The following is an 11,575-nucleotide window of genomic DNA, read 5'->3' on the forward strand; positions in this document are numbered from 1 at the left end:
TTTCTGGACATAGATTGATTAAAACAAAAATTAGACCAGATCATTCAGGTCTCATCCTACTCATTTTTCAACCATGACAATCTCAGATACAAGAATGAATTCAATGCACCACTAAGAAATGTCAATTAGGAAGACATTCCCCACAAAGCAAAGTAATCTGGTGGCCACTCAGAAACCATTTAATCAGCCAACTAAAAATTTGCAAATCTTCAAATTTAAAAGTGAAAGAAATGTACACAGTTTCCATGTAGCAATGCTAATTTTTCCTGGGAAGAATTTCTTTACTGACAGCAATCATGCCTGTATCCTAACCACTGGTTGGATGCTAGGAAATTAGTAGGTATATGCTAAATATTTTCTGAATGAGTTAGTACTTAATTTTATGACTGCAATTAGATTAAGAATAGAATTAGAATTGTCCGAGTAGACTATTAGCTGCCATTTTCCTAAGCACAGAATTTATATAACTCCAATCAGAAAGCAAATATGTATTTATTTAGTTAGTTTTTACTGTGTGTTCGGCACAGTGATCAATGCAATGACAGACACAATATAAATATGCATCCCTGCCTTCAAGGAGCTTGCAATACAGTTAAAGAAATAATCCTAATTTTTATAGTACAAACTTTAAGTAGTGTCAGGTGTCAGAGAAGGAGTGAAGGACTAGAAAAGTCAAAGAAGTCTTCAGAGATGTAGGAGGATTTTACTTGAACTTTGAATAGTGAAAATTTAGGTAGAAAGTTTCTTATTTACTCATTCAACAAATATCAATTGAGTTACTAAAGTGATTCACTGGGAGTACAAAACAATTGTGAGCTAGTGGAGGTCATAAATCTTGTTTTGAAACCAAATCTAAACTCTTCTGAGAGGGTGGCTCACAATCTAATAGCTAGGAATCAGGCAGACAGCAAACAAATCAATCACTGCAGTATTATGTAATAAGGGCTATGACAGGAGTCTGTAGAGGAGGCAGTGGTGGCTTAAAAGAGTATATGAGTTGCTTGGCCTGGAGTGCATGATAAAGGAAGTGTTAACACAGGAGGTAGAGGAGGCCAAGGGTAGAGGGGAAAGCAAGTGCAAAGCTCCCGAGGCAAGTGTTATCAGGGAACCATAAGTACTCATCTATGTCAAGAACATAGGGTAAAGGTAAGAAAGATTAGAGATAAGGTTGAAGAGGTAGGTGGAAGGAATGGGTCCTTTCAGGCCAGGTCACTTCAGCATGTTTATGGAAAGGCACAGACGCTCTAATTATAATAATATTTTTTATATAGCAGAGAGGACACTGACCAAACTGGAAAGGAGAGTAGAGTCAGATGACTTCGAAGAACCTTGAAAGCAAAGCAGAGTAGTTCAGACTTGGTTTCAAAACAAACTGGAAACCATTTAAGGTTATGTATAGGGAAGTAACAAGATGAAAGGGAGGATTTAAGGATAATTAATCTGCAAGAATAAGTCACACCTGGAAAAAATGAAGCCATGAAGCCACTTAGGAAGCTGCGGAAGGTATCCTAGGCATCTGATGCTCTGGTCGGACTCGGGTAGGTGTGGTAGGAACGAGGAGGAAGGATGTCAGCGAGCAATGTTTAGAAGAAAAGAAATCAAGCTGAACTTGGTGACACACCACAGAAGAAGGATGGGTATACAAAATTTACTCCACAAGTTTGTGGACCTGGATACTTGAAAGAAAGATGGGGTCTCCAGCATGGACTGAGATAAGGGAAGAAGTGGCTGGTTTGTGGAGGAGGTCGATGGGAATTTGAGTCTGAGGGGACAGAAGGACCATTTCCAGTAGGCAGCCAGAAATGCAGGACTGAAAGTCAGATGAGAGAGTAGTGGAACTAGAAACATTCCAAGGAATACCCTGGACACTGAGAAAAGCCTGACACAGTATCTCTGTACTTACAAAGGAACCGTAAACACAACTAATACTTGGAGCCATCTCCTAGTTGGTTCAGTCCAGTGCTAGAGTGGAGTAGTGATTTTGACACAGAGTCTCTCCGTCACTCAGGCTGGAGGGCAATGGCCAGATCTTGGCTCACTGCAACCTCCACCTCCTGGGTTCAAGCAATTCCCCTGCCTCCAAGCAATTCCCCTGCCTCAGCCTCCCAAGTAACTGGGATTACAGGTGCCCGCCACCACACCCAGCTAATTTTTTGTATTTTCAGTAGAGACGGGGTTTCACCATGTAGGCCAGGCTGATCTTGAACTCCTGACCTCAGGTGATCCACCTCCCTTGCCCTCCCAAAGTGCTGGGATTATAGGCGTGAGCTACCATGCCCAGCCTGGGACACATATATCTTTTTTTTTTTTTTTTTTTTTTTTTGAGATGAAGTCTCGCTCTGTCACCCAGGCTGAAGTGCTGGAGTGCAGTGGCACAATCTTGGCTCACTGCAACCTCCGCCTCCTGGGTTCAAGTGATTCTTCTGCCTCAGCCTCCTGAGTAGCTGGGATTACAGGCACGTGCCACCATGCCCAGCTAATTTTTGTATTTTTAGTAGAGATGGGGTTTCACCATGTTGGTCAGGCTGGTCTTGAACTCCTGACCTCATGATCTGCCTGCCTCGGCCTCCCAAAGTGCTGGGATTACAGGTGTGAGCCACCGTGCCAAGCCTGGGACACATATATCTTTTTAAGATAAAGTAGTGCTATTGAGTTTTGAAGAGGGGTGGGGTAGAGATGCCTGGAGCCCTACCTGTTTGTTCGCCACTGAAACTTTTGAGGCATCTCCACAGGACCCAGGAAAACAGATTTTGATTCAGAGGATTTCCTTAAAAAATACCTTAAAATAACAAAGTAATGAGACATTTTGGTTTGCTAAATAGGAACACCACAGTCAATAAGGATAGTATCCTTTTTTGCTATCTTAGCAAGAAAATATAATAAGCATACTGGGCAACTGAAGCCTAACCTATGTGCTCCTGTGTATTATATAATCAGTGTTTTGCCCATGTTCTTGTAACCCTAGTTTAACAAGTTGAAAAATTATTTTGTTTATATTGTTGATTTCCAAGTTAATTGGGTAGAAATTGTTGTATAAGTAGGGGTGGAATCCTGTATCACTGAAGCTAGTGTGTTTTGCAAGCCTGTTAATCTTTCTTGGACATAGCTTCATTGGAGGAGTTGTCTTAGAAAATGAAATACGTTCATGTATTACCCAGAGATGAAAGAGTCTGTGAGAATTCACAGCAAATGGCCGTGATCCTTTCCTGTATCCCAGCTCCAAATTCTTTCCCCAGGAATGTACAGCTGGGTAACTCTATGTTTGCTTGTACACAACCTTTCCAGGCAGCACAAATTTACCTTTTATAGATGTTGATGCCTGCTATGGCTGTTAAGTTTTGTTATTGCTGCTTCTAGACATTTGTCTACAAGTAGTGTAGGAAACAAAATAGTTATAAATAAAAAGCATATCTGAATTTCATATTACACTATTTAGAGGCTTTTTCTTTCTACTTTTTGGAAAAATCTAGATACCTTCATTCATTCATTCATCCAACAAATATTAAGTGCCTATTTATGTGCCCCATACTGTTGTAGACACTAAGGTTAAAGCAGCAAACAAGACAGCCAAATTCCCTGCCTTCATGCAGCATAGAGTATAGTAAGGAACACAGATAATAAACACAAATTCCATAACTGTTTATATAATTACAATTGTGATAAATGTTATAAAGGAGGGAGCATATAGCAAAGGGACCAAACCTCATGGGTTGGGAAGGTTTTCTTGAAAATCAATATTAAGGCTGAGACATAAAGGACAGCTAAGAGTTAGGCTGGCAAAGTAGTCTGTGGGGAAAAGTGTCGCAGGCTGAGGGAATAGAAAATTTGAAGCCCTTGATGCAGCAAGTTAATTGGTGAGTTTAAGAAATTGAAGAAACCAATTATGTCTTGATGTCACTAAATCTTAAAGAGTGAGGGGGAAATGGTTTGAGATAAGCATAGAGAGAGACTAGACGCCAGATTCTCTCTCCTCTCTCTCTCTCTTTTTTTTTTAATGTGCCTTAAACTAGTTCCAAGAGGTCAGATTCTAAAAGCCTCCTAGAGCAGGCTACTCAAAGTGGGTCCATGGACCAGCAGCGTCAGCTTCACCTGCGACTTGATGGACAGGCAAATTCACAGGCCACATCTCGGACCCACTGAATCAGGATGTCTAGGGAAGAGGCTCGGCCGTCTGTGTTCTAACAAACTGCTGATAATTTGTTGAAGATAAGCAATGTGTGCAAAGGGGTACATTGTTCTAGTCTCTCTATGTATGTTTGAAGGTTTTCATAATGAAAATATTTTTAAAAATAATATTAGTAACTTTTACATGTTTTAAAACTGATACAAGTGAAATCAGAATGTCTGTTTTCTTCTACTACTTGAATTTTTTTCTTTAAAAAGTATATCCATGTTACACACAACTCTAAACCACTTGTTTTCATTGCTATGCAGTATTTTACTGTATGGCTAGAATAATATATCATTGATGTACATTTGGGTTGTTTACAGGTTTTTTCCTAATATGAACAATGTCATTACAAATGTTCTAGTATGGTACACAAGCTTTTCCTGGTGAATGAGTGCGTTGGGCATAAAATTGCTGGCAGACTATGTATAACTTCAACTTTATGATAATACCAAATTGTTTTCCAAAGGAATTGTTTTGATTTACATTCCCACCGACATTGTGTAAGAGTTTTGGTTGTTCTACATCATTGCCAATATTGATATTATTGTTTGAGACCAGAAGTGTTTCAAATTTCAATTTTTATTGGATTTTGGAATATTGCATTATACTTACTGGTTGAGCATCCCAAATCTGAGAATTTCAAATCTCAGATGAGATTGGCTCTAATAAACATTTCCTTTGAGTGTTGTCAGCACTCAGAAAGTTTTAAATTTTTGTAGCATTTTGGATTACATATTTTTGGATTTGGGATGCTCAACCTATACCAGACTTTTACATTTTTGCCAGTCTGATGGGTATGAAGTATTATCTCAAGTGGTTTTAATTTTCATTTCCGCAGTTACAAATGAGGTTGAAATTTTTTTGTTTGTTGACCTTTCAGGACTCTTGTTTTATGAAGGGCCTGTTTACATCTTTCACCCATTTTTCTATTGGATTTTTTGTTCTTTTCTTATTGATTTATAAAACTTTTAAAATATCCTGTATAGACTGGGTGTGGTGGCTCACGCCTGTAATCCCAGCACTTTGGGAGGCCGAGGCAGGCGGATCACCTGAGGTCAGGAGTTCGAGACTAGCCTGGCCAACATTGTGAAAACCCGTCTCTACTAAAAATACAAAAATTAGCCAGGCGTGGTGGCGGGCACCTGTAATCCCAGCTACTCGGGAGGCTGAGGCAGGAGAATTGCTTGAACCCGGGAGATGGAGGTTACAGTGAGCCAAGATCATGCCATTGCACTCCAGCCTGGGTGACAAGAGTGAAACTCCCTTTCATCCTCTCGAAAAAAAAAAAAAACAGCAATATCCTGGATACTACTGGATACTAGTCATATAACACGTTATGAAAATATCCTCTTCTGGTTTCATTTATTTTTCTATTTCCTCTTTTTATTTTTATTTTATTTTAGTTTATCTTTAGATAATTAGATATTCTTAACTTTTGCTCCAAATTAATTAATTTTTTCCTTTATGATGTTGGTTTTTGTAGTTCGCATCTAGTTTAAGAAATTCTTCCTAACCTCAAAGTCATAAAGATATTCTTGTATTTTGTCTTCTAAAAATTTTGTAATTTTGTCTTTCACATTTAAGTTTTTAATCCACTTAAAGTTGATTTTTGTGTATAATGTAAAGCCGGGAACCCATTTTCATTTTTTAAGATTGGATAGCCAATATTCTAGCACCAGTTGATGGAAAAGTATATCTTTTCCCCACTGATCTATAGTGTCAGCTCATCATAAATTGAAATTCCATAAACGTATGGGCTTTCTCTTATTTTCCTGTGATTTATTTATCTCGCTATAATAGGCTTTTCACAGCTCTTGGTTTCCAAATTTTTCACTTTAAGGATTTTTGGCCTTTCTTGCTCTTTTGCCCTTATAATATAAATTTTGGAATCCTCTTACCAAGTTTTAAAATCTAGGCCGGGTGTGGGGGCTCACGCCTGTAATCCCAGCACTTTGGGAGGCCAAGGCGGGCAGATCACTTGAGGTCAGGAGTTCGAGACCAGCCTGGCCAACATGGTGAAACCCCGTCTCTACCAAAAATACAAAAATTAGCAGAGCATAGTGGCGGGCACCTGCAGTCTCAGTTACTTGGGAGGCTGAGGCAGGAGAATCGCTTGAACTCAGGATGTGGGGGTTGCAGTGAGCCGAGATCGTGTCAGTGCACTCCAGCCTGGGCAACAGATCGAGACTGTGTCTCAAAAAAAAAAAAAGAACAACAACAAAAAAAACTAATAAGATTTTTGGAATTGCATTGAATCTGTATATCAATTTAGGGGAATTGACATCTTTAAAATACTGAGCTTTCATAGTCAAGGACATGGTATATTTCTCCATTTTCAAAGGTATTCTTTAATTTCTGTCACCCAGGATGGAGTGCAGTGGCACAATGATAGCTTACTGTAATCTTGAACTCCCAGGTTCAGGTGATCCTCCTGCCTGGTTGTCCTGAGTAGCAGGGACTACAGGTGTAAGCCACTATGCCAGCCTTCATAGGCGGTATTCTTTAATTTCTTTCAAAAAAGATTTGTAATCTTTTCTCTGGGTCTTACAAATCCTTGGTTAGCTTTATTCATAGGCATCTCATTTTTAATGCTATTATTATTTTTTAATGCTATTATTAATGGCATCATTGTTAAAAATTACTTTCTATGTTTGTTATGTAATAGAAATACAATCAACTTCTATAACCTTGTTAAATTCATGAAACAATTCTCCTTTGGAGGACTTTTCCTCATTCAACAACCGCTAAATTTATGGAAATCTATCTATAGATTTTTGGGTGTGTTCTTCCTTTATAATCCTCTATTTCGTATTTCATTATTTTTGCTGTTTTGAGCTTGCTAAATCCTTTGGTACAATGTTGGACAGAAGTGTCTTTTTCTGTTCAATACATGCTCTAGTCTTATTTCTGATCTTGAAGAGAATGCTTTCTAGCTCTATAATAACATATTATGTAGGATTTTGTTGTAAGTTCTGATGTCTAAAATACTAAGATTTTTAAAAATCATGAAAGGATGTTGAATTTTTTCAAGCACTTTTTCTGCATTTATTGAGCTTATCATGTGTTTTTCCCCTTTACTCTGTTAGTATGGTAAAGAATATTGATTTTATAATGTTAAACCAATCTTGAATTCTTTGGATAAACACAATTTTGTCATAATCCACTATCTTTTCATATATTTCAAGATTTGGTTTGCTAATTTTTAAAAGGATTTTGCATTTTTGTTCAAGTACAAAATTGGCCTCAATTTTCTTTCTCATATTTTTGTCAGAAGATAATTGGCCCCAAGCCCCAGTTGTGATATTTAATTAGTACAACTGGTATAGCCCTTGAGGCTGGTTATGGTTTACATCTTTCTGATTGGTAGTGGCATCCATTCTGAATCAGCAGTTAATTACTTCAAGTATCACTCCTGTCCAGACCATACTGCAAACGAATGCCAAGATTTAAAGTTTGGGTAGATGACAAAAATCCCCTAAAGGAAATTGGCAAGGAACATTCCAAATGGTAGGGGGGATATAGGGCAGTCATAAAAAAGAAGAGTTGCTTCAAGAGGGATTAAGTAGTTGACTACAGTGAATACTAATTAGAGATCAAATAAAATGAAAACTGAAAAGTATCATTTGATTCAATAACAGGGAGGCCATAATGACCTCAGTAAGAGCAGTTTGACAGGGTGATGGGCACCAAAGGCAAATTAGAAGTAGTTTAGCAGTGAAAAGGGCATCATCATCCCAAAATGGTAGACTGAGCACATGGGCCTATCTTCTCTTCCAACACCCCAAAACCTAACTGGAAAACCATATAGAATGCCATGTGTAGACCTCAATTTTTTTTTTTTTTTTTTTTTTGAGATGGAGTCTTGCTCTGTCACCCAGGCTGGAGTGCAGTGGCATGATCTCGACTCACTGTAACCACCACCTTCTTGGTTCAAGCAATTCTCCTGCCTCAGCCTCCGTAGTAGCTGGGATTACAGGTGCCTGCCATCATGCCCAGCTAATTTTTGTATGTTTAGTAGAGACGGGTTCTGCCATATTGGCCAAGCTAGTCTCGAACTCCTGACCTTATGCAATCCACTTGCCTCAGCCTCCCAAAGTGCTGGGGTTACAGGTGTCAGCCACCATGCCCGGCCTATAGACCTGAAATTTTAACAAATTTCTCAAAGGTAGAAAGCATATAGATGGAAGAGAGTCAAGTTTTGTGGGTCCTGAAGTGTACACAGTTTGGGAAGTCCCCTTTAAGATAAATAATGCAAATTGTAAATATGCAATTGGGTACAGGGCTTTGGAAGGGAGCCATGTAGGTGAAGAACCCTGAAGCTTCATTGGTTTCATGGTAAATCTGCCAATAAGCAGGTGGAACTTGATTGATAAGAGAACCCAAAGCCCAAATTGTATCCCAGAGAGGACTGTTGCAGCATAAGGAACTCTCTGGACATGCTCCAGGCTCAGGGACAAAAGATACAATAAGCGAGAGGGGGCCCAGGGCAGTCAGGGTGATTAATCTGGGAGCTACATTCAGAGCAGCTGTGTAGGTCAGTGCCTCCTGCTTCCCCTGCTTGGGCTGAGCCACAAGCACAGCCAATTTACACGGAAGCCAGAGCAGCCAATGTGTGCTGGACAAGCAGGGCAGCATCCCAGATAGCCAGGAGGACTGAGGAGCTACTGGTACACAGTACATGCCTACCTGAAATTACAGTCTGCTCCTCCCCAGCAATCACCAAATATATCCCCCTGTAATCAGAGCCAACCTCCACAAAAAAGCAAGATTTTCAAAAAGCTAAGAAGTCAACACCATGAGAGGCTCTAAATTGAACAAATAGAAGAACTTACCCTAAAAGAAAGAGTTAACATAGCAAACAGAAGAAGGGAAGAAATCATTCTTCAAAATCTATAACATGCAAAAATTCAAGTACATTGAATTAACATTAACAACAAAACTAAAAAATTCAAGATGTTCGTTTGTTCATTCATTCAATAACAATTCATTCAGCACTCCCTACTAGTCTCACTACTATCAGGGACTATTCCAAATACTTGGGATTCATCAGTAAATAAAGCAAAGTTTCCTGCCATATTACATTCTAGATGAGGTGAAGGAGAACAGATAAATATTATATTTAATAAATAAGTAAATTATGTAGCAATTTAGTAATAAGTACTATCAGACAAAGAAAAAGAAGGATTTCTAGAGGAGACAATAAAAACTTTCTAGTCACCCCTCCTCAAAGTAATTTAATGTTTAAAAAAACTATTTTAGGAACTGTTTTCATCTTCACATTTATTCATCCTCTCTTTTGTTATATCTAAAATAGGATATGTGGGCCAGACATGGTGGCTCATGCCCGTAATCCCAGCACTTTGGGAGGCTGAGGCGGGTGGATCACGAAGTCAAGAGATCAAGACCATCCTGGCTAACATGGTGAAACCCTGTCTCTACTAAAAATACAAAAATTAGCTGGGCATGTTGGTGTGCTCCTGTAGTCCCAGCTACTCTGAAGGCTGAGGCAGGAGAATCACTTGCACCTGGGAGGTGGAGGTTGCAGTGAGCCGAAATCGCACCACTGCACTCCAGCCTTGTGACAGAGCAAGACTCCATCTCAAAAAAATAAATTAATTAATTAATTAAATTAAATTAAATAGGATATGTGGTAAGGGGTGGTATTGATGTCTTGGTATTAGCCACTACCTACTTATGCTTTTCTTAAGTTACCAAGAAGTTTCTGCCTGGAAGAACTCAATAAATTATTTTATTTTATTTTATTTTATTATTTTTTTTGAAACAGGTCTCACTCCTTCACCCAGGCTGGAGTACAGTGCCATGATCTTGGCTCACTGCAACCTTTGTCTCCTGGGTTCAAGCGATTCTCAAGCCTCAGCCTCCCGAGTAGCTGGGATTACAGGCACGCGCTACCATGCCTGGCTAATTTTTGTATTTTTAGTAGAGATGGAGGTTTCACCATGTTAGCCAGGCTGGTCTCAAACCCCTGACCTCAAGTGATCCACCTGCCTCAGCCTCCCAAAGTGCTGGGATCACAGGCGTGAGCCACCGTGCCCAACCAGAACTCAATAAATTTTAATAACACTTAAAACATAGACATATCCTCCCACTTACACTCCTACCCTCCCATGAGTGGAACATGGACATGAAGACTTAAGTTTACTAACTCAGTAGCAGTCAAACAGGACATACAAATTGTGTCACAAAATTCAACATAACTTTATTAGACAACATTTATTATTATCTTATTGTCCGATATATTCCAGTTGCACTCTGTATATGAAGAAGAGTTACTCTGATGCTTGGAGAGAGCTGGAAATGTGAGTAAGCAAATGTACTACTTTTTGGCTGTGTTTTAGGCCCCACATTCTTCACTTAAGAGATCAAGCATTGCTAAATGAAGCTGGGCAAAGACAATTAAAGGAAAGTCCTTTTCTGGTGCACAAGCCTTCTTGAAAAAATGAAAATGAAAAAAACTTGAGGCTATAATGACCCTAGTTGAGTTATTCAGTTAACATTCACACAACAAATATGTTTTGAGCAGCTAAAATGTACCATACACTGTGCTAGGTGTGGGATAGACAGAGGTAAACAAAACAAATGAGATAATTTTAGCCCTTGTGTTTATTGTTCAGTAAGGAAGAGAGACACTAAAACAAATAAACCTACAAATAAATATATAATTATAAAATATATAAGGGTTCTGGAAAGGAAAAGAACAGGGTGTTAGGAGAGGGAATAACAGAAGTTGGGATAGGGACTTTGGAAGGGCTGGGGCATGGTTAAAGAAAGACTCTGAGTAATCATTCTTTTAACAAGCGTTATTACTGGTGAGTCAGAATAACATTCAAATTACGTTTAGAAGTTGTTAATGTGCTAAAACAATGAGTCATAATATTTATCCAAGCCATATTTTAGAATAAATAGTAACCTCACAGCAGAATGGTGATAAAGAGCCAAAAGTCCAGTTACATCTGAAAAATGTGTCTCTTCAGTGTCTTCCTTCTTTCTTCCCAGGCTTGCTAGCTAGCCAAATGAGCAGATCTGGCAAGCCATCCTTGTGCGTGAAAGGTGGGTCCTTTTCTTTAACCATCTGGACCTGCCCTATTTATCCCAATCATTGACTCATTTCTATTGAGCCATGAATCATGCCTGGCACCTACTGCCATTCTGTAAGTGTCATGAGGATTTGGCGTTCTAAAAACATGCCACCGGTCAGGGCATTTCTATGAAAGCATTCCCTAACATGGATGGAGGTTTGAGAGTATGGTTCCCCCTGACCCTCAAAAGTCTTCAGCATAGCAGGGTAAATTTAATACCTTTTCAGAAGCCAGCCTGATCCCTGCCTAATTTCTAAGTGGGTCATGCTGTTAAAGTCAGAGTGACGGTTACCGATTGTTTTTT

At 39.1% G+C, this 11,575-nt stretch overlaps 1 protein-coding gene across 10 annotated transcripts in view; it reads left to right on the plus strand.

The window, feature by feature from the left end:
• Nucleotides 1-11,575, plus strand: part of MYPN (myopalladin) — a 124,121-nt gene that overhangs the window by 37,125 nt on the left and 75,421 nt on the right. Inside the window, exons 4-5 of one of the 10 annotated variants that reach the window (NM_001256268.2) lie at nt 10,438-10,491; nt 11,189-11,242. The exons of the other annotated variants lie outside the window; for them this stretch is intronic. The gene's annotated coding sequence lies outside the window, so the exon portion shown is untranslated. The remainder of the gene's footprint in view (nt 1-10,437; nt 10,492-11,188; nt 11,243-11,575) is intronic. 10 annotated transcript variants of the gene reach the window in all.

This window comes from Homo sapiens, chromosome 10, assembly GCF_000001405.40.
Source record: "Homo sapiens chromosome 10, GRCh38.p14 Primary Assembly".
Classification (NCBI taxonomy): Eukaryota; Metazoa; Chordata; class Mammalia; order Primates; family Hominidae; genus Homo; species Homo sapiens.